Source organism: Homo sapiens, chromosome 2 (assembly GCF_000001405.40).
Source record: "Homo sapiens chromosome 2, GRCh38.p14 Primary Assembly".
Lineage (NCBI taxonomy): Eukaryota > Metazoa > Chordata > Mammalia > Primates > Hominidae > Homo > Homo sapiens.
The window spans coordinates 101,807,512-101,831,977 of record NC_000002.12 but is presented as its reverse complement, the minus strand read 5'-3'; the positions used below and the strand labels follow the sequence as shown (position 1 = coordinate 101,831,977).

At 40.0% G+C, this 24,466-nt stretch overlaps 1 protein-coding gene across 55 annotated transcripts in view, besides 1 other annotated feature; it reads right to left on the bottom strand.

Annotated features, from left to right (window-relative positions):
- MAP4K4 (mitogen-activated protein kinase kinase kinase kinase 4) overlaps positions 1-24,466 on the bottom strand; it is a 196,984-nt gene that overhangs the window by 62,713 nt on the left and 109,805 nt on the right. For all 55 annotated transcript variants that reach the window (NR_169279.1, NR_169280.1, NR_169281.1 and 52 more), the window contains 4 exons: positions 7,925-8,050; positions 6,549-6,659; positions 2,384-2,474; positions 127-257 (listed from right to left, as the gene is read on the bottom strand). Coding sequence is in view for 51 of the 55 variants with exons in the window: in NM_001395002.1 (NP_001381931.1) it covers positions 127-257; positions 2,384-2,474; positions 6,549-6,659; positions 7,925-8,050 (459 nt within the window). In the remaining 4 variants the exon portion in view is untranslated. The remainder of the gene's footprint in view (positions 1-126; positions 258-2,383; positions 2,475-6,548; positions 6,660-7,924; positions 8,051-24,466) is intronic.
- Positions 23,319-23,927: an enhancer, noted in NCBI's record as "OCT4-NANOG-H3K27ac-H3K4me1 hESC enhancer chr2:102424513-102425121 (GRCh37/hg19 assembly coordinates)". NCBI's record gives its function as "activates a minimal SCP1, AML or CMV promoter by ChIP-STARR-seq in primed H9 embryonic stem cells {active_cell/tissue: H9 hESC(primed)}" and the evidence as "EXISTENCE:reporter gene assay evidence [ECO:0000049][PMID:30033119]".

Sequence of the window (24,466 nt, the reverse complement as noted above, 5' to 3'; positions counted from 1 at the left end):
TCCTCACTGAAGGTCTTCCTCCCTGAAAAGGCAGGCAGACAAGGGGTGTGCAATTTATAAGCAAAGCCCCCATCCCTCGGGTATGCCAGTGGCCCTGCAAAGGCCTACGGAGCAGGTGCCTCTTACTCTGTAATCATAGGTGGCATCTGGGTTCTCATCACAGGCGATGACCTCAGGAGCCATCCAGTAGGGAGTGCCTATGAACGTATTTCTCCGCCCCACAGTCCTGTCCAGCTGAGCACTCACACCAAAGTCAACTGTGGGAGGAAGAAAAAGGCAGATAAAGAAAGATAAACACAACTACAAACCAGATATACTTGGGAAAAAACACAAGGAGGAAATGTCTTCATAGTAAACTGAAACAGCAGTGCTTCATGAATATGCGATCCTGCTCAAGGCAGGCACCACTGGTCAGGAGTGCCCCTCCACAGTAAAGCCACCGAGACTGTGAGATCCTCTACCAGTCTGGAAGCTTCTGTGAGGCCTGGATCTGGCTGCCTCCCCAGCTTCTCCAACAGTGACCAGCAGAGGGCCTTTTGAATGAACCACAACCTTCAGTGCTTTCAGAGAACTGCCACAAACAAGATCAAGTCACAGAGAGCCCCAGGTTCAGGAGAACTGACTGAGATGCACTTGACTTACCTTCTTAAACAGCACTAATAACCATAAAGATAAGAATTTCACGAAAGTTTTCTTGAAAAAAAACACAGTACTGAATCAAATAAAGAAAATCAAGCTAAATCACATATTCACAAACAACACACCCTAAAGCACTTGGAACTTCTGCTGATTTTTCAGTGACTTCTGCATCCCACCCAATTGGATGGTGGTGGTGGTCTAGAGGAAAGTTCAAGGACGGGAGGCAGAGCTGGCAGGAAGACCATGACCTCTAACAGAATGCCTCCCATCACTCCCTGCCAACACTATCACTACGCACACTGCCATTAACCCAGCAGGAACCTGCAAAGGTGGAGGAGCCCATGCAAAAAGGCCTACGAAATGCTGAGATGACTTAAAGGGATCATAGATTCATGCACAGAACACGCTCAGAAAATGGCTCGTCCAGGGTGTGGACTCACTCACTGAGTACTCCTTTAGAGACAGAGACACACGGGCCAGGCAGTGCAGGAACCAGGGACACACAGGCCAGCCAGTGCAGGAAGCCTAAGCGAGCATCACAGCAACTTGGAAGGCAATGGTAACCAATCACTAAGTGATCGCTCAGGGACTATCACAGGCTGGTACCAGGAGACCAGAGCAGGGAACACACAACTCACTGAGTCATTTGGTATGAGAACTGCTCAAGTGCTTCCTATGTTAGCTCTGAGGGGAGTTTCCAATTGGGCAGATTCCTCCATAGAAAACCAACAAACACAACCACAGGCAAGAAAGTAACTATGAAGATCTTACTTTTACAGTACAACAGCTGTGCCTATGATTTCTAAAAGAAAGGTTGACCAGACCCATATAAACATAAAGAATTTTGTTGTGATGTGTTAGTGGAAGAAAAATTAATACAAACTCTATTTAAAATTTTGATACAACACTTAGATGAAAGTGGAATGAGTTCAGACCCAGCTAAAGGAAACAAGAAATATAAAAGAACCCTTGTGAGTAACTCCAGGAAAACACCATGGGCTGTAATTATCTAACCACGCAGAAATTTATCAAGCACCTACTACAATGAAGTCACAATGCTAGATGCTGGGTAATACACTATTTGCTGCATTCCCAGAATTTACATTCTGGCAAAGGAGACAGTAACAGAAGTAAAAAACAATCACATAACTATACATTGTGAACAATACTATGAAAGAAACAAGCAGCAAGGCCCAAGACAGATTAGAGGTTGGAAAAGGCCCGTAACATGAGAAAAAAAACTGTGACTTCAAAACTGAAGTCAAGTGTTCCCAATGGGAAATAGTCATGCAAAGGCCCAAAGGCAAGACCCAAAAAGTTTAAGAAAAGAAAAAAAAGACAGTGACTGATGAAGAGAGAAGTAAAGAGGGACATAAAATGAGGAGGGAAAAGTAGCACGGGTCAGATCCTACATGGCTTTTTATGGGCAAGGGTGAGAAATGTAGGTTTTATCCAAAGTAAAATAGGAAGCCATTAAGGTTCTTTAAGCAGGAAAGTGGCATGGTCTGATTTGAAGATCAGTCTGGCTGCTGTATAGAGAACCAGGGGGCAGGGGGGCACAAACATGGAAGTGGGGAGGCTGGAGCCAAGCTAAGTAATATGCTCAGTTCCCACATTCTTAAGAAGAACAGAAATAGAAAACATGGGTAAGACTGAACTTTTAGCTAGATGGAAGCAGAACTGGGAGTGCAGCTGGCTTGTGCCAGGTGCAATTATGAGATCACGCCGCACATCCATTACATACCAAGTTTCACCTCTGCATTCTCAGTCAGCAACACATTCTGGCCCTTGATATCCCGGTGAATCACATGATGAATGTGAAGATGTGCCAGTCCCTGAATAGGAAAGACAGACCTGAATTTTAGTTTTCTGTGACTATAAGTAAACAGCCAGGAACACACCTTTTATAAGAAAGTGCACATGTGGACCAAAGGTGTTTGTGAGCTCATGAACATTAACTTCGTCTTAGTGCATTCCCAGGAAGACAGCACCAATACTACCACACACACAGAAAGAAGTCCTCCCCACCCTCCACATTCCCAGTGGGTTAGGTTCCCCGTGTGAGCAACGTGATCACTTCTAGCTGTGCCTTTAAGATACACTGCAGATTACCATCTGCAGTTTCTGTGCTATAATTTGTGCTATTTGTGTACAGGGTGGTTCCTTTCCCACGCTAAATGTCTAGAGGGTGACCCCGTGGGCATATTTGAACTAGACACATCTCAGGGGAAAAGCAAAGGGCAAGAGAGGGCTTTGAAATCTGGCTCTTTAACACTGGCTAGCCTTCCCACTGCACAGTGACAAACTGCTAAGTGCTGATCAATCCCACCTCCATCCCAAGCATAAAACGATTGTGCTGTCAAAAGAGCCTTGTGTTCAAATAAAGTATCTTTCTTTCCCAAGGAAACAAACCTACTGGGCATATAACACTTTTTGATGACCTTGTATCTGGAATGAGGCCCAAAAGCTTGTCTCTTACGAGAGGTGGTGGAAGAACAAAAACACATGTTGCCTCCAAATATGGTCCAAGAGACAGCAATGCATCATTCTCACAACTCATTTACTTATTCTGTCCTTAGCTAGAGAAGCCAAATATACAGCTCGCCTCCTTAAGATACAAGCAACCTATTTACTCTAAAATGTCTCAATCCAAAAGGGCAGATTATAAGTAAGGGTTATTTGATTTTTCCTGTTTATTCTTTTTTCATGGGGTTTTATTGTTATCATTACTTTGTAAGATATGAATTAAATACAACAGCTCCTCTAGAATACTAATTTTTCTAACATAGGGGGTTTCAAAACATTCATTTACTGGTCTGTCTATGAAACAGAGCAGAGCTTATTCGACAGCTCTGTTTATTTTTCACAACACAGGATGTGCGGTATTATACCGCAAAGCACTGACTAGAGAAAAAAGCACTAAAAATATATGGTACCTTATTGCTATAGTTAGGAACAAAGCACCTCCTCTCAGCTTGGTATAACTTCAAACAGCGAAAGGAGAGACACAAAAGCTAACTTCCCAATTCTTCGTAATTCCTATTTCTATTATTTCAGTTCATTTTTGCTCTCTAACTTGCACAACCTCTTCTTAAACTTTTACAGGACTATCTTAACAACAAACATAAGCACCCACATCTTGTCCAACAAATGTGGCTTGCATGCACTCTTGTTCATTACTAGCAGTAAATGTATGGAACAATGCCTGTTTTCCTGTCTATACTGCTACAGGATCACTGCTTCTACAGGGAATTAAGGTGTGTCTAGCAGCTCTGAAACAATGTTATATGATTATTCTGAAAAATAAGTACATTTTTCTTCCATGAAGTACCTGGGAGTGTATGTGTGTTCAGCTAATCCCACACCAGAAATTAGGCCACAATTATCCTTCCTTAGCAGAGATGCCAAGTCCAAATACTCAGTGAAGGACCTATCCTCGAGCAAATGCATCAGTGTTTCTGAACTAGGAAACATTTTTCCCTTAACTCTGTATCATGCATGGTCACAGAATAAAAGAGCAGGCAAAGGTTGTCATACAGTATTGGTTATAGAAAGCTCTCAGTTCCCATGTTCAATATGAAGATACTGCCATGTGGAATGTGAACATGGAAGTGGGCTGAAAAGAACACGCTGGCCTGCTGCTAAGCCTTGTGGTCCACAGGGTAACAGTGTGCAGGCTCCAAAAAGCACTTCTCTATTGGCTGAGGCCTACCTGCTCAGGACCCTCCCCATTCGAAGGGTCTGATCATAATGATCAAGATGTCTAAATCCAACATCTAGTGAGAAATGAGGAAAGGTTTTGCCACCACAGAAATTGTTTAACCCCAACTGTCTTTGAGAACACAGCTTATCTGTCTGGGGGTGGCTGCATTCCTTTCTCATGAGACCTTACCTCCAGTTTATCATGCTGCTTTCTCTTTACCAAAGCCGACTCTTAGTAACCCCTATAATGAACACACACTACTTACTGCATGACACAGGAACTCTCCCTGAGGCATTTGCTTGTTTTTAGTTAATTTAAACTTTTGTCACAAGGAAAAACTCCCATTCTAGATGACATGTAGGCAAAGGAAGCTTGTGTTTCAGATGCCCAGTGAGGTGAAAAAGATTTGCTACGTCTCAAAAAGATGTTCATTCACGTACCACACTCAAGTTGGCTTAGAGACGTCAAACAACTTGGGCTTCTTTTAAATGTTACTGGAGATTACTGATGGTAAAATGGCTAAAGGTACATATTACATATGATAGGTAAACAATGCTTGCCTGGGTATAGAAACACATGTAAGTTGTCTTTGATGTCTTTGAAGGCTGAAATACATTTGATGCCTAGGACATTATGCTAAAAGCTAGTTCTCTGCTTGAGATATCACATACTGGAATTACATACAAGCAAAGTAGGGGTGTGGGTGCGTGGGTGGGGATGTGTATGGCCAGGGAGTGGGTGTTTAAAACAAAGAACAATGACAACAATTCATATTTACTGATAGGTAGCTATGTATCCACGTTACATTAGATGATTAATATACACTAACTCATTGAATTCTCCTAACAAAAGTAATTTCAAAGGGTTGGTATGTATAGATGAGGAGAAAGTAAGTCCTGAAAGTTGAATAACATAGGGTGTGCTATATAGGTAAGCAGCAGAGGTAGGACTCAAACCCAGGTCTGACTTATGCTAGTCTCCAACCACTCAACCAATGTTCTATCCTGCCTACCATGCTAAACAGTTTTAGTTATTAATAGAATAAATGCATCTGGCCCAGTACCTGACTTCCTTTACAGTAGTATAGGGCAGGAAGCTTAGTTTCCCACATTTAGGCTCTGCTTTCTATAATAGTCATAAAAGATCCTGACATTTTAATGACATTTGCAAGTGTTTATAAAAAGATGGTTCTCCTGTCACCCTACCCCACCCTTCACAACTAGTCTTCTTAGGGGAATTGCCTATTTTCAAAGACTACATAAATATCTAAATAAAAAAAAATTAAACATTTCTCTAGGAAGTCTAGATGGCAGTTTTTAAACCTGCAATCCTCTATGAATCTTAAATATAAAAAGTGGGATAACTTTACTTATTAAAAAAATTAAAATAACTTATTAGTTACTTTAAGTTTTTTTATTAGTGGGGGAAGCCTAAGAATTGGGCTTCAATTTAACTTCATAATCTTTTTTTTTAAATGTGGTAGGTAAATGAAATGCAACCAAGTAATGTCTGTGTGTAATTCAGGGATGAAGTAGAGAGAAAAACTGTGATAGCCAAATGAAGAGACTCACTGGTAATATCCTACATGCACTGCTCAAATACGAAATCCTAGAAACCCTCTGCCTGTGCTGTCAATATGGCTTTACTACTCAAAAGAACCATTTAAAAGCTGCTAAAATAGCAGTTCAGAAACTTACTCTAAGATCATTAGCCAGCTTTTCAAATGGCTGTAAATAATATTAAACATTCGAACTTTTCTTCATAAATATTGTAACAGACTCTAGTAGCTAATGCCAAAGACTTCAAGGTGATTTTGAAAACCAGCATTCAGCACCATTAGTATTGATTTATAAGCTTAAACACAGAATTCCTTTAAAAACAATAGTTGGAGATTATTTCTCTTCCCTTCCACTCTGATTTCCTTTTAACTCAAAGGAAAGCTGCCAATAGGTATGTCATGATGCCATGGAAAGTAAATTCAGAAATGCTTTTTTTATTTAAGTCTACCTTCTTTACATACTTGCCAGAGTCAAATCATGATGTAGCTTAAAATTATCAAAGCTAGCTAGATATACAGAACCCTTGGCTGTCAAAGAGAATAATCTATATAGATATAAGTAATGCAAAGAAGTACTTGGGGCTGGGAAAATGAAAACGGAAGCACAGGATCATGAGTTGGAGCACTGTAGCCACCCACTTTCCTTACCCTCAGGATTTCTCTGGAGATGTAAGCGATCCAGTCTTCTTTGAGTGTGTTCCCTTTGGTGTTCTTCACAAGGTCTGTAATGGACCCAGCCCCACAGAACTCCATAACAAGCTATAGGGCAGACAAGACACAAGGTGAGCAACATATCTTGGAGAAATTGGGAAAACCAGTTTAACCGCCATGCCCTCTCTTTTCTAAAGACCTAGAAACGTGATGCTCCTCAATAATTCATAATAATTTGGAGGCACCTAAATAACTGAAAGCTCATTTCATAGTCCAGTGTATTCGCTCCATATATTTGGTCCAGAAGACTGACAGTGTCTGGTATTCTACGGCACACCCAAGTGCAGCAATTCTGAAGTGCTCATTCTCTCTCAGAAGCACATGGGCACAGGAGGACCACTTTGCTCTTCATCACTACCCAATTATCAAATATCTGACTCAAATATTCCCTAACATTCTTTTTCATTTTACCTCAAAAACATTCTACTTTTCACATTATGATCCTCAAACTATTATATTTTATATTAACTGGGTCTAATGTGAATAAAAAATGGTATTTTTAAGCAGTTATACAATTTTTAATGCAATATTTACAGTATCTAAAAGTTTGAACAATATGATCACAATGGTATGTTTAAAGTACCCAGAAAATAAACTGAATTGAACTATTCTAAAATTTTAACTATGATCTGACTTGGGCAATAGTAACAGTAAATTTTTTGCCTTCTACTTAATTTTGCAAATGTTTTCTGTAATAGCCTTTTAAAAATACTGATACAAAAAGTATTAACCTATCTTCCTGCTTTATAAGTTTAAATAATGTGATAGCCACAGATCTGATGGTATCTCCAAGTCATTATCTTGAATATAAATGTGTTCAAAAAGAGGTAAGGTTGAATGTGTCAATTCCAGAAATTTCCCTGGAATTTGTTTTAACTATTATCATTAATATTATTAATAAGCTACTGACAGAAGTTTGTTTCTTGAGATCTGTCTCTCATTTCCAAGTGGTAAGCTCAATTTACTGAGCTTTCAAATTAATTTTGTTCCCATAAATAAAGTTTTTATTGTATTGCTTTCAAGCTCCTAATTTCCTTGCTATTTGGTTACATTCCTTCTAGATGCTGCCATTTTATTCCCGAAACACAAAGTTAACTTTTTTCCACGCAATGTGAAATCGACATCAAAATAAACAACCAGCATATAGTCAACCCACAGATACAAGCCAAGGAAGCCTTTAGAACCTGCCAGCTACTTACTGCCCCTCTTTATTGTTTTTCTTCCCCCCCTCTTTCCCCCGCCCCCACCCCCGCCATGCCCTTACAATTCAAGCAAATGGAATGCCCACAAATGCTCAGGAAACATCCACCTACCCAGAGTTGGTCATCATGTCCTGGAGGGCTCTTTTTGATGAAAGCACCATAATATGTTGCAATGTTTCTGTGATGAGAGTATTTCTTTAGCATATTTATCTCCAGTTTGATTTCTTCCTCTTCATCCTTATGAAAAAATAAAAATAAAATGTGTGGCTACTGAACGATGTGAATGACTTTACTTCCCCCACACTACATACAATAATGAAAGGAACACAAGTTCTCCATCCTCCAGGAGCAGAGGCACATATACATTCACTTTATCCTTGTGCCAAGAACAGGAACCTTAGAGGACTCATCCTTTGAAGTGTGATTATAGGACGTGATGCATAGGAGGTAAAGGCAGACACGGAGAGCCGCAGGGATAGTGCGAGGGGACTGCCCGGCCAGCTCTCCCACTAACTGTGACCTCGGGCAATGCACTCCACTTCTCTGAGCCTCGGTTTGTTCAGCTGTAAAAATGGGACCACAAAAGGAAAATGACTGATACTATTTGAACTTATCACTTGGAAAATCTGTTTCCTTTGCAAATACAGATCATCTGGTCCATTTAAGTCCAGAAAACGTTTACCTCTAACAACCCTGCACGACAGCACCCTCTAGTGAAGCCAAGGCAAAGTACTGAATACATGAACGCAGGCTGGAGGTGTAGTCTGTGACGGTGTGCTCAGCGAGAATCCACTAACCCGAAAAGAGGTTCAGCTACGTCCAGTGGGCCCCAGTAACAAAACATCACTGAGAATGTGGTTTCAGACTTGGCTCCTCTCCTAGCATCTTGGTTTATTGAAATAAGATGAGCAGAGGAAGAAACCCAGAGTTTGTGTGAGAAGATCAGGGTGGGGAATGAAGGAAACAGATAGTGACACAAGTCTGGAAAATAAAAATAAGTTGCCCTTGTGAATGACAAAGTCTGAGAAGTCTGTTATCTCCACCTCTCTCTCTCATATAAACCTGGAGAAGACGCTGTGCACACCAGCCAGGTAGGCATTCTGTTCCTTGTTATATATACATGACATACTACCTGCAAAGAGTCAGGTTAAGGAAGATTTGTAGTTAGTACAGAATGAGGGGAAAGCAGAGTTAAAGTGAGAAAGAAGAGAAACTGTGCAGGAAAGGGAAAATCATCCTTGATCAGAAAAGCACAGTGTAAGATCAAGAGAAATCTGATGACCAGATCTCTAGAATCCCCTATACTGCATACATTTTCAAAAGGAAAAGATGACTAGTCCCCTAAAATGTCCTTACTTTTCTACACTGACACAATCATTCCACTCACAACTGATGTCCTTCTCTATCCAGGGAAGAGTAGGGGCTCTGAGTAGCCTAGACGTGTGTGTACGCACATACTCACACACACAACTTGGAAGAAACCTACTTACTGCTTCAGTCTAGCACCTCTAGAACCACTCTTAAGGCCTTACAAGCCTAAAGGAAGTTTGATTTGCAAATATTATACTTTAAAATAAAAGCTGCAACATCATTAATTAGATATAAATGATAAGATCAGATGGGAAAAATAATTTTTAAAATACGAACTTCAGTTATACATTACTGCTTTAGAAAACAAATGTATAACAAGACATGTAGTCATCTTAGAATAGTAATTCTCAAGATGGCGGCTTTACAGCTTGGTTCCGAAATATAAACATTGGAGTATTATACTACAGTCATGCACTACATAACGTTTTAGTCAACAAAGGACTGCAAATACAACAGTGAACCCATAAAATTATAAATGAAGCTGAAAAATTCCCATCACCTAGTGACATTGTTTGTGGTTAAGGCTACTGTAAACTAACCTGCCGCACAGCCAGCTGTATAAAATTATTGCACATATAGTTATGTATAGTACATAATAATAAATGACTATGTTAGTGGTTTGTTTACAATACTTTTATTGTTTATTAAAGTGTACTCCTATTTATTTAAACAAAAAAAAGTCAACTTACAATAGCCTCAGGCAGATCCTTCAAGAGGTATCCCTAAGAAGGCATTGTTATTATAGGAGATGACAGCTCTGTGCATGACTGCCCTTGAAGACCTTCTACTGGGACAAGATGTGGAAGTGGAAGACAGGGATACTGATGAGCCTGACCATGTGTAGGCCTAAGATAACGTGTGTGTTTCTGTCTTCGTTTTTTACCAAAATGTTTAAAAAGTTAAAAAAGAAAAAAGCTTACAAAGATATTTAAAAAGAAAATATTTTAGTACAGCTATGCAGTTTTTTAAGCTGTTATTACAAAAGAACCTAAAAGTTTTATAAAGTAAGAGTTACAGTAACCTAGTTAATTATTGAAGAAAGCATATTTTTTACAAATTTAGTGTATCCTAAGTGTACCATGTTTATGAAGTATACCAGTAATGTCAGTACAGAATACAGAAGTGTACAGTAATGTCCTAGGCCTTCACATTCACTCACCACTCACTCACTGATTCACCCAGAGCAACCTCCAGCCCTGTAAGCTCCATTAATGGTCAGAGCTCTATGCGGAAATACCACTTTTTATCTTTTATAACATATTTTGACAATCTCTTTTCTATGTTTAGATACACAACTACTTGCTATTATTTTACAATTGCCTACACTATTCAGTACAGTAGCATATTGTACATGTCTGCAGCCTAGGAGCACTAGGCCATACCAGATAGCCCATGTGTACCATCTAGGTTTACATAAACACACTCTGATGATGGACAACAGCAAAACTGCCTAATGAATGATGCATTTCTGAGAACGTATCCTCATGGTTAAGTGATGCACAACTATATATTCTACAAGAACACTTGTCATGTGACTTTGACAGATGACTACAAATACGGCAACAGTCACATGACCCAATACAGTTGATACAATAATTCTCATTCAAACCCTGCATATAGGAAAGTCCTACCAAATAGGTATAATTTCTATCTGAGATTTAAATGTGGCCATGTTGAAAGCAGCAATGAAAAATTAGGTACTCAATACTAGATAACCATCTTAATTCTAAACAAAACCAGTGTTTAGACTAGCCAGTAAAACAAAACACTTCTATTTGAGACCTTGCTTCAAAGGAACTTTATTCTAAAACAGAAAAGGGTAACAATTTTTACTACATAAAACATGAGGAAGCATGCCCCCAAATAAAAGTAGGAAACCTAATGCCTCAAAAGTTTTATCTTGTGCTCTCTGCACACACACATCAACATGCACAGTGTAACGAGCAGTAGCGACCAGGGCTTGCTGTCATGGGGCACATCGAGCCTGCTCCCTCCTGACTCACCACAACTCACTCCCAGTGGTATCTGAGGGTTTCTGAGAGGCCTCCTGACCAAGCAGTGAGTGGCCTGGGACAGCCCTAGTGAGGCTTGTCAAGACAGGCAGGCTCCTGAAAAGACTTAGCACACGGTAGTGGCCATAAACAGGCCCCATTGAAAAGGCATGTGGTGTCACTCCCAAAATAAGGTCCATGGTTAATTAAACATGTGCTCTAAAAAGCCAAACATCCCACTTTCCTTATACTGAACTGCAGCTGGGTGACCAGAAAGTGAACTAATGGTTTTTCTCCTTTTATCCAAAAGTCAGTAAATCTGTAAGGATTTGGGGTATAAAAACTACACAAAAACAAAACAACAATGAATAGGGGAAAATCAAAATATTTATTTTAATTTTGTTCCTGTAGTAAGAACTTCATACACTAGTGAACTTTACTGGACTGTCCAGACTTGTTTCATCAATCCCACCCTTACCTTTGCCTACCTCCACTCCCTGCAGTGGCTAAACTATTTCCAGGGTCATTGTTCCCTATCACACTCTGCCAGTAGCTTTCACTTCTTGAAAGAAAGAAATGCTACCTATGATTCTCCCATGAAAGGCTTCCTGAGCAATAATTAAGAATTATAAAATAATTCGACTAGGTTCCATTTATATTTTTTTCTTTTAGTGACACAAACCAATGTCTTCTAGGATCTAACCTGTTCACCACTGTACAAGAAAGAGTCAAGAGCACTCGATATTTTCACAGTTCACTGAGTTAAAAATCAAGCACACATTTTAGTTCTTATACTCTTAAATTCCATATTGTCCACCGGTGTGAAAACTCCCGAATTGGCACATTGGTAAATACTGTTGGCAGATCACCATGGCACCATGTATTTCACTGAATCTGAAGTGCCCCTGAATGGAGCCCAACACTATTTTATGTCATGAAACCATGAAGCACTGTCGACCATAAAGTACACACTCTTAACATCTTCAAAACTGAGTTGCATCTCAGAATCAATGATTTAGAAGAACAACTAAAATATAATCAAGTCTGGCAATAGCTTTTCTAATATGACGGAAACACCGAAATATCATCCAGAAATACAGTGATCACATCAATGTCACCTGCCAGAATATTTCCCAGGTCTGAAATAGTCAAATCCTGGAAGCATACAAAAATAACTACAAAATATATTGCAAGGAAATTATATTCTCCCCTCAAATTACTGTTTTAGGATAAAGTTTATATATACTTTGAACATTTCCTCTCTTGATTTTATGATTTTAAAATAGACGACTATTACACATCTTATAAAATAAAAAGGCAGTTAGCACCACTAATTGTCATTTACTGTCCAATTATGAGTGCCCACTTGAAGGAAAAAACACTAGAAATACAGAATCTGCCATGGCTTTGAGCCAGCTACAACTGGAAATCTAATTATGACTAATGCTTATTATACAGTATTTTATGTTGTCTTTAGAGTAGGGTAATAATGAATCAACTTCTGAGTTTCAGTCTCCCTTTGGTTATTAAACATATGTTTGGTGGTTGCATCCCAGCACTTAAGTACATACACACATACCACCACCACCACTAGCACCACCAAAAACAAACACTTCATGTGGCCTGGGAAGATACAGCAGAAAACAGACTAGGGGCCAGCTAAAACTGAAGTTTAGTAACAACAACAAATCCCATATACAAAAAGAAAGTTGAGTTGGCAAAACTACATAGAGGAAGTTTATATATTCCATGTGTCCAGGCAGAGTCCAAACTACTGTGTCCTCCATGCCCTTCTTTAGCAGGTCACAAGTATAAACAAATGAAAAACAAAATCAAGAGTAACTTGAAGAGGAGAGAGAGGCCTTTTTAGTAAGGAAAAAAAGGTCCCCCTCCTGGTTACTCAAATGGTGTGGCAGCTGCTAGCCCCCACTTAGTGATTTAATGCAGCTGATGCCAATTAGCATTTTGGACTTTAACCAGTGGAAGCAAATCCTCACAGAAAAGGCCTTTGTCTCAGGCCAGGACCTGACTAGGAGATGAGTTTTTAGTTGCCTTGCAGGCTGTCAGAGGGTGGGGGTGGAGAACATCTGCATAGTAGTAATTTTCACAGGTAGCGATGGGTTTGTCATATGACAAGCCCTGCCCACTCCACCATCTGAGCACACAGGAGTGCATGGTATGAGTGTTTTGTTGTTTGTTTTTTAATGACCCCTTAAAATGCTGTTCAAACTTGTTACCTAAATTTTTTCCCATTCCATCAATGGTAGTAACTATGTGGTGAGGAGAGATGGGCAGACTTCAGATAAGCTAACTGGAATCCAAGAGGACTGGAAAATGTTCTGAGCATTTGCCAGGTGAAATGAAGCCTTTCACCTGGCATACCCTCTTTACAGAATTAAATGGAGACTCGGCGACAGCTGGATAAAAGAAAAAGGCGACTGACTGTTAACTCTATCTTTGTTAGTTGGAGAGAGGACGGATAAAATGAGATATACAAATATCTCTGGAAGACTTCGGCACCAAAATGTACAAATGAATATACATTTAGAATGAAAATATCTGTTTTTAAAAAACAGTTTACAAGTTTTTGTCAACTACTACTGAACCTTTTCTTTATGTGACTGTGAACGGGTAGAAAAATGAGAACTGACTACTTTTTACCTGGTAAATCCCACTACATCTAAGAGTATCATTCAGTACCACACCAATGAAACCAGCACAGAATTAATCAAATTTATTTTTTATTTTTTGGCCTCAAATAGGCACATCACATTACAACTTAAATTCACTAACTAGTCAACTAAACACAGATGAATATAACTACACAGGAAAGATTCCAGAACAAAATTAAGGCTATAGGATCTGATCAAAAGGAAGAAATTACATGTTCCTTAAAATTAATCCGCACCCCCCAAGATCAATCAGTCTCAATAAAAACTGACGGAAAAATTACAAATTTAACAACAGCCTGCTCAATAAAAAAACACTGTCTTCAGCACATTTCAAACAAAAACGCAACGCATCCTCTTTCTAGTTCTGCTACTGAACCAATGAGCTAGTTCTGGGATTCCAAACCCAGCATGCAATGGCCTGAAGCCCTGGACCCGCCCTCTTCTCCATGGAAAGCACAACATAGAACTTTTACTACACACAGCAAAGCCCCCAGCGCGCCCTCTGGATCCCCTCCATCTTCTACAAAGTGCCACCTGCTGAATCTTTCAATGAGACTGCACTACTCAGCTGGTATCTAAAAATAATGTGATATAGAAGACAACTACACAATGACACCATTCACCTGGATGGATGGGGGTGGGGAGGACTTCAGATGGTGAATATAGTTCATTCTATTTTCTTCTACATCAGTTGCCCATCAACAACTTTGGGAGACTGATGCTTGCCTGAATGACCCACAAGGAGGACAAAATACATGTCTGACAAACCCCCACCAAAAAGCACCACATGACAAATAACGAACATGGTGATCTTACTCAAACAATAAATGCAAATAAGATCACTATTTCCTCCAGGATCTAAAAGAAACTATTAGATCTTTCCAAAGCTTCATGTCATCAACACCCAGGAATCCTGACAGTTGACCTCGTCGAGCCCCAATCTATAGACAAAATACCATGGGTACAAGTGTCTTCAATAATATACTTGAAATAGTTCATATTAGTACTTAGTTTAAATGAATGCATTGAGGAGGAGGGGAGAAATGCTACCAAATATTACCTCTAGATTATAGCCCAATTTTCTACAATTGTCATATACTATTTTCCTAATTTGGAAAAAAAAAAAAATAAGAGTTTAGGATAGAAAAGTTTGGCCCCCAAAGAATTCAAAATGAGCTTTCCGGCAACTCACACAGTCCATCTCCTCTGTCCTTGGACTGAGGGTCCTCTCCCCTCCTTGCTGCTCGAGGGTCACTGCCAGTTTCCCTGCTTGGGCCACTGAAACCAATGGTCAGTTGTGCAGGGAGGCCTAGGAGAGCCTGAAGAACTAGAGGCTGGCTGTTTAAACTGCCTTCAACTGGGTCAGTGGCACCACTCTGACCTTAGCCTCATGGTCATTTCTTCCTGTTTACTATGATGTACCAATCCAGACCCTCAACTTCTTAGTATCGGCTCTTTCCAGACTTAAGTCATTCCCGGAGCAAAAGGAGAAGGTAGGTGGAGCACTCATCATCCACTGTCTTCACTTTCCTGACCTGCCAAAGGTCCCTTGAGGAGAATCTTGCCTCAGTCTATTCATACCTCTCCCTAACCCAGTGGCAAACTCCATGAAGCTTCCCATAACACAAGGGGAGAAAGAATACAATACACATTGAATAGAGTGTTGTCTAAAACCTTAAAAACAGGTCCAAGAAAGGAATGGCAACAAGGAGTACAGCTCTAAAGGAGGGTGTGATAAGCAACAGTGTTTCTGTACTTCATGCTGGATTCATCCATGCACTCACAGGCACCAGAGCTCGTGCTTACATATTTGACAAAATGTGTCTTCAATAAAAAAGAATGAAGGGAACTTTGGCTCCTGGCCAAAATAAAGTATCAAGGACAGATGATTTATCCTCCCACCTGAACAACTAAAATTAGCCAAAATATACGAAAGCGCTTAGAAGAGACTTCAGGCCATAAGGGCAGTGACCCTGAGAGTTGGGAAACACATGCAGACTCCAGCTTACTGCCCTGAGAAAGACTCCAAGCTGCAGCAAAGGGAAAGGAAACCCAAACGGCGCCCAGAGGAGTCTCTGAGTTGAGGAGACAGAACTGAGTCTGGGGAGGCCACAGCCGCTGCAGCTGCAGTCGCAGGACAGAATACCAGAAAGGAGACAGCTGCACAGAGAGCAAGCAATTCCCCCTAGAAGACTCAGTAGCACACTATCAACACGTCCCCGTGCGGAAACCACCTGAGGTAAGGGAAAGAGCCTGATCCCAAAGGATTCCTCGGAATACTACCCAGTGCTCAAAGGGTTGGGAAGCAGTGCCTCCTGCCGTTGGCTAGATTGGAAAAACTCGTCATTCACAGGACTCAGAAGACTCTGGCCTCGATAGTGGGGCCAAATAAGCCTAGACTACATGATGTGACAATCCCAAAATCAAATCTTCGAAGGATCTAATTGTTCCCAAGAACTACCTTCATCCCAGAACAAAGGTCAAGTATGTTATAAAAAATATAAAATATCCAGTACCCAATAAGGTAAAATTAACAATGTGTGGAATCTAACTAAAAATTACCAGGCATGCAAAGAAGCTGGACCATACACATATGAGAGAGGGGGGGAAAGAAAATTATCTGAAACTAACCCAGGAATAACACTGATCACAGAATTCACAGATTTAAAAAAAACTTAACAAAAGCTACAACCTACACCTCTATTGGTATAAACTATTACGTCTGTTGGGCATCTACCCATGAAGGAACCTGACACCCAATTTGCTTTTTATGGTCCATTAAATTAGAACCCAGTGCATTTAAAAAGCAACAACTTGGAATTACAGATGTTTCCATCCTTCAACCAGAGTGGCAGAGTAAAAGACCCACATTATCATACAGGTCATCTGTTCCTACTTTCCCACCAATAGAAGAATATAATCATAATTTAAAAAAAAAATTAAGTCACGCATACGAAAAACTGTCTACAAAAATGATGTTTGAAATCAACTTACTTTTGATCCAATCATTTAAGTAATTTTTGTTTGATCTCAATTGCTATAAACAACTTATTGGTTTATGTGTTAATCAAAGTATTGGCTGTCAAAATGAGGCTAGTAACTATTCCACAGACCCTACTTGGAGAAGCACTGACTTCAGAGGGCAAGGCCAATGGCTAGTATTTACACAGCTCAGTGACTTTCTAACTTTGACCTTGAGGACATTAGAAGCAAAGCCCCAATTTCTGATATGTTTCATGGTTTACCTTACCTTTTCCCTCATTCTTCCTGTCTCCTCCACTTTCGCTTCTTAAGCTACCCCAACTCCTGCTTATGTATTATTTTCATATGTTTCATGAATCACCACAGTACACGAGTAGAAAAAAGGAAGATAAAATAAAAACAATGATCACCTGGAGAAAAGCAGTGAACTCTTTCCTTGGAAAGCTATCTTTCAAATGTCATGATATTAAACCAAAATCACCTTGGCTCTTGATGCTCCCTGGAAAATGGAAATTTGCTATAGTCTGCCAATATGGTAACAAGGAAAAAAGCCTTAGTTTCCATGTGTGTACACTACCATTTTGTTACTTTCAAATAATTCTCTTCATTGTGGATCATTTGCAAATCTGGAAAGGGATCCTGTCTTTATTATGAAATGGCATTTTCCACTTCAAATACAACTAAGTGACCTCTGTATCACAGCTCACATGCCTGGAGAAGTCTCTGGAAGAGCCTCATGGGAACCACATATGAAGAATCATTCCCTTAGCTCTAAGAATTCAAAGATGCTTTCCACAGAAGTTACTCAAAAAGACCATGAATAAGTGTCACAGACTTGGGTAAAATAGAAAATAGAATCAAGGTATTTTAATTCCTAACAGACACCTTTCATTTAAAAAAATTTAGGTGACAAAATTCAGGGATAAGCATACATTTGGCTATGTCGTACTGCATCTACTCACATTCTCTGCAGAAAATGTGATAGCATGTATCTGGAGGTCACTCAACACTTCTCACAGCTTCTCACCTAAGTGAATCATTTCCTAATACTGGGGTGTGGAAGAAAACTATAGGATGGCACCAGTCATCATGCCTTCAATAATTAAATATCACCTCCCTACTTTTCAATCCTAACTAGGAAAATAATTTGATGTCTCTCCCTCTCAATTTTCTCTACTTCTTAGAAAGATATCAAACCATCTAATGGGAGCCAGTGAGAGAAACACAAAATCAAAAGCTTCAAAGTCCCAATGGAAAAACTACTACACTTGACCAAGATCTGAGGAAATCTGACTCTACAGGGCTACCATCTGCATTATACTAGTTACTCAAACCGACCTTAACTAAACCCAAGGAGAAGTTCTGCTCTGAACCAAACCAGTATATTCATTTCTAGCCCACGATGTAAGTGGTCCTTATGGGGAAAATCTTGTTGGATGCTTTATACTCCACCACCACAGAAACTCATAAAAATGTGTCCCATATCCTCTCTTCCAAACAACAATCAGCAATGTATGTCCTAACTATGTACGTCATTACCTGTGTTCATACAAGATAATGATAAACTGCAAGTGCCTCTCTTGGAAAAATGTGAAAAGATGCCAAAAATTCACAGATACCAAAAAGACTGAGGGAGAAGACAACCAATGATCTTCAATATGTGATTAAATTGGAAATAATACGAACAGCTGCTAAGACTGGCACTGCTCAACTGTGTCCCAGAGCACTGAGGAGAGTGACCACCAAGGGCACTCACACTGCTGCAGGTCCCGGCTACAGCTCCTTTTTTAGTGTTTTCGCTCTGAGACATGCTCTGAACACAATACATATTACTACTGACATTGAGTACTATTTGTATTTTATCAGAAAATAATTTTTCTCTTGAATGTAATTTTAAAAGATTATTGTTGAAAATACAAATTTTATTATATACAGGAAAAAAAGTGTTTCCATTACATAAACCTCTAACTTCATAGTGGAAGTCAATAATATAGGATTAATGTAATCCAATTTATTTATTTATTTATTTTGAGACGAAATCTTGCTCTTTCACCCAGGCCGGCACTATCTTGGCTCACTGCAAGCTCCGCCTCCTGGGTTCACGCCATTCTCCTGCCTCAGCCTCCCGAGTAGCTGGGACTACAGGCACCCGCCACCGTGCCCAGCTAATTTTTTGTATTTTTAGTAGAGACGGGGTTTCACCATGTGTTAGCCAGGATGGTCTCGATCTCCTGACTTCGTGATCCGCCCACCTCGGCCTCCCAAAGTGCTGGGATTACAGGCGTGAGCCACCACGCCTGGCCAACGTAATCCAATTTAAATAGGCAAACACAGTTTCCTCAAATTTAGAAGACAAGTTGGTGCTATTTTATCTCGCACTTAACCTCTTTTACTTAAGTAGCGTCCCCTAGCATCCCACCACCCCATCCAGCACCATAAGCACACTGTATGGCAATTATCTACAGCAAAGATGCACATTTTTAAAAACAATCACCAGAAAGATACTCTAAGTCATTAGCAATTTTTTTTTTTGCTATTAATCATTTTATATAGAACTTTAAGGCAGTCTACTACCTACACATTTCATAAAGCTGTAGTAAGTCATTTTGGTCTTAAAACAGTTCATTAACTTGCCATTGTGTTCCTTAATCTTTACTCCATCTATCTGCAAGTACCCAGGGACACGCACGCGTGCTGTGAGGAGGTGGACTGGAGGCTGCAGGAGTGGCTGAACGAAAGACATGAAAAGAAGGCCTCGAGACACTGCTGATGTCCTCCGTCTGCGAAGAGTCAAACAACATCACTCCCTAAAGAACAACACAGTCCTCCCTGTCTTGTGATCATCATCTCCCTGTACTCTGAATGGCTATGAAGCAAAACACATGCAAAGTCTGCATGGAGTCCCCTGAGTCAGTCTGGCTAACTTGAAGCAATTGTTTTAAAACTAGAACTCTCATGGGGTGGCAGGAAAAAGAACGGAGTTGTCAGAATAAAGGAGGACCATAAACTACCACACACCTATCTTGAATATAATGAGGGAACTAAATTTCTGCACAAAAGAAAAAGTAAACGTATTGTTGTCATGAAAACACATACAAAGTCTCTCAAGTGGTAGGTACCTCCTCCTCCAAGAGTGTGTATTGACTTACAGAGATAAAGACAAAAACTTAAATCAGTAAAAATTACACAAATAAATGTCTCCAGTGAAGACCCTGAAAGGCCATTCACCAACCCAAATTCACAAGCACAAAGGATATTACCATGTTGGAACCTGCCCAACTTATCCAGCTCCAACCAACAATACCAACTGCCAAATTTACCATCTGCTGTTACCCAAAAAAATGAAGGTCAGTAAGTTGCCATGCCACTTTCCTTGGCAGATTTTAACAAGTGCCCCAACCACATGCCCATCCATTGGTATAAATGCATTCAGTAAGCACGAACTGTGGGCCCACTTCATAGCAAACACCATGTGGGGCACCGGCAAGAGCAAGCAGGGGCAGGACAGGGAGAGAGATGGCTCGTCAAAGAGACACATGGACCAATGCAGATACAGAGGCAGGCAGAGCACAGGGACAAGGAAATGCAGAGAGAAGGGGCGTCAACACCTGGGAGGGTGAGCTTGGGCAGCTGTCAAGGAGCAGCCAACAAACCTGGGTAGAGCCGTAGAGCCAGCATAAAAGAAACCAGACAAGGAATGACACTATACAGAATGAAGCCAGGGAAGCCACAGGCCAGCAAAACTACTTCCACATTCTTTTTTTTTTTTTTTTTTTTTGAGACGCAGTCTCACTCTGTCGCCATGCTGGAATGCAGTGGCGCAAATCTCGGCTCACTGCAACCTCTGCCTCCTGGGCTCAAGTGATTCTCCTGCCTCAGCTTCCCGAGTAGCTGGGACTACAGGCACCCGCCACCAAGCCCAGCTAATTTTTGTATTTTTGTAGAGACCGGGTTTCACCATGTTGGGCAGGATGGCCTCGATCTCTTGACCTCGTGATCCACCCGCCTCGGCCTCCCAAAGTGCTGGGATTACAGGTGTGAGCCACCTCGCCCGACCCTACTTTCACATTCTTGAGCCTAGACTAACTAAACTTAGTAAAATAAAATAAGTCTGTTAAAAGAAATCAAGAAAATGCCCTCGTTTCCTGCCAGGCTCAGTATAAATTGGCAGCCTCACATCAGAATCTATCAGCAGTGTGCATAAGGCACCGTCTTGTCCATGGATGCTTATAGACTTGTGCACATTCAACAGCTAGTGTTTCTACTCAATAGTAAGCCTTGGACAAAAAACTGGCACAGAAGAATACTGTAACCTATGCTTGTAGAATTAATTGGGTTTATCAGTTTTTCTAACTAAAAATAGACACAGAATGGGGAAAATAATGAATTTAAAACTTAAAGTTCTGTAAGTCTTAGAACTTTTAAAAAGAAAACCTCAAAACTAAAAGGAAAAAAAGATATGCCTCTTGAGAGCCCAGAGTAAATAGTGGGTTAATTTGGGGCTTGCTATTCAGAGCTAAGATCCTTCAGTGGTAAATTTCACTGAAGACATCTCTAATTACTTGGGGGGGAAAATCATAAAACCTGAGGGATACAGTAAGTAACAAATCCTGGAGACCTTTGTGCTTTTAAATGGTATTGTGAATTTTTTCAGATATTATAAAAATAAGAGCCAATCTAGGAAGACTCTCACCAAGTCCAATGCAAGAGGCTAATGATGTTACTTATATATTAATTATGGGTACAAATTAATTATAACATAAATTCATAATATATAATGCAAATATAATACATAAATTCATATAAATTATCATTAAAACAGGCACAGTGATTACCTGTATTTAAAAAAAACCCACAGGGGTACTATGGAATCTTCTCTATAAACATCCCTTAAAAAATATACAGGAGATGCTGAGGAATGTATCTTAGACACAGCAATCTTTGAAAGATTTGATTCAAACCAAATTCACCCCAATGGTTTAGCCAAAGGGTTCCCTCCTGTTTTTGCTACCTATTATACCAAACCAGCCATTTCCTTCACTTAAAATGAAGAAAATTAGCATATCCATGGCATGTGATGTACTAGCACCAGACTAAGTGATACAAGTACACACCCAATTAGACAATGAATCTTCCAATACACTGAACTCTGGGTCAGCATAGAAAATCATGTTGGGCTTTTAAATCACTTATGTGTTCATGTCAAGTAAGTATATTTGGCATTATCCCATTATGCACTAAATGATTTACATACAGTTGCAGGAGAGAGAACTACATCTTTAGACCAGATGTTTTTGAAGATGGTGCTGCCAAGCACACACAAAAATTGCACAGCTGTGTCCATCAACCACAGACACAATGTCACAGTCCAGCTTTGAGAGAGGCTAAGCAGCCAGCCATCTTCCTCCCAAACAAACAAAGCAACAGATGCTGAAGATGATATAATAAAGAAGTACTGGGGCTGAACCACTTTAACTAAGCAACTGATGGAATATTTGAGTCAAGTTATCAAAAACAAGCAGTTTATTGAGAGGTTTCAAATAGTACTTAAGTTTTAAAAAGTCATCAGGCCTTTTCTAAAGTCATCAGGCCTTTTCTAAGTAATATGCTGCTTCCTTTCCCTAACTTCAGTTTTATTTATATTCAGATGAGTTAAAATAATAAAGACAATGACAAATACTTTATCAGTTAAGAAGCATCTATCAGGGAAAATATATCGATTAAACCACCATATGTATGGTGGTGATTAGCATCCACTTTTCAAGATCTTGTAAGCTAACAACAACAAAAAAAAAAACTAAGAATAAAAAGTGCTTGTTCAGACAGACAATATTATGAAGTTATTTACAGTGGCCTGTTCTTCAGTAATTTACAATCTAAAAGCCACATTGTCCAAAGTGTATGGACAGGAAAAAAAATCACTACATGAAAATAACATATATACGCGCTATATACAAGCTCAAAGTTGTAGAGGTGTACCATGAAGTGGTGACTAGAAAAAAGTTACATGAAGTATGTAGTTGAGACTAAACAAGATTAAGGAATTCACCACCTGAATTATTCAGGAGAAATCTTTCTAAAATAAATAAATAAATACAAACTCATTTTTAAACTAAACGCAGCCACACATATAAACACATTTGACTGGGGGCTTTCCTTGAGTGACTGGCAGCCATAAGAAATAGCTTTACTCCGCAAAGACTGGAAATACACCAGAACGTCGGGGGGGTGAGACTGTAAGAAAATATTTTTCCACTTTCCAGTTTTCTAGATGAGTACATTATTTTACTGTTAGAGAAAAAAGCCTTTCCATCATTTAAAAAATAACTTTACACACACACACACACACAATGAAACTAAAAAAATATACATTAATGCTTTAACAGGAGTTAAGCCAAGGTGATGGAATTATGAGTGTAATTTTTTTCATCTTTTTACTTCTCTATATTTTATCCCTGGAATAATTATATTTCATAGAAAGTAAAAATTAAGAAATATAATTTTAAACGTCACTTAAATTTTTTGTTCCAGCAGCTTCACTGAGCTGTAATTTATAAATCATAAAATTCACCACCGTAGGTATACTAAACGGGGTGGGGGGGGGTGAGGGTGGTGTAACAGGGGGAATACATTTTAATTTTCTTATCATCCTGATAAGCAGAAGTAACCAGTAAAGTCAAAGGGCCAAAAAGCCTTGAACTTTTAAACTAGCATAAAGAGAACAGTTAAGAAAACATTCACCACCCAGCACGACCTCACTTGAAGCAGCAAGAATCCATGAATTCTTCGGTGTTAAGAGCCAGGAGCTGCCCACAGCCATGGGCTCTGTAGCTATAAGGAAGACGCAGGGTCCCTCACTTGCACAAACCAGCAATTCCTCTGTGTAGGGCCCTGGGCACAAGCTGCACACAGGCAGCACCACACCACAGAGCCCTCATCTTCGGTTACCCTGCTCTGCCAGCAAGGTAAGGAGCCATGGGCATTCTTCTCCCCATCCTCCTAATGGATAAAATAAAAACAAGGGAAACAACCAGAACTGATGGTCATTTGTAAGGCAATGAAAAATGGGCTTATCCTGAAGAAAACTTCCGTTGTTGGGCTTTACTGTGAAGAAGCATCTTTGGTGGTACAGTTTGGGTATGCTTCCCAGCCCAAATCTCAGGTCAAACTGTAATCCCCAATGCTGGAGGTAGGGCCTGGAGGTAACTAGATCATGAGGTGGGTTTCTCACGGATGGTTTAGCACCACCTCTCTTGATACCGCCCTTGCGACAGTGAGGAAGTTCTCATGAGATCTGGTCATTTAAAGAGATCTGGTTGTTTAGAAGTGTGCAGAGCGCTCCTTCCCTGGTTCCCTCATTCCTTCCCTCCCCCTCCCCCACTCTTTCTTTCTCTATCTTGCTCCTGCTTCTACCATGTAAGATGCTTGCTCCCCTTTGCCTCCAACATGACTGGAAGCTTCCTGAGGCCTCTCCAAAAGCAGAAGCCACTATGTTTCCTGCACATCCTGTAGAACCATGAGTCAATTAAACCTCTTTATAAATTACCCAGTCTCAGGTATTTCTTTATAGCAATGTGAGAAAGGACTAATACAGAAAAGCATCTTTGGTCATGTAGGTTACCATCAGTCTAGGAACT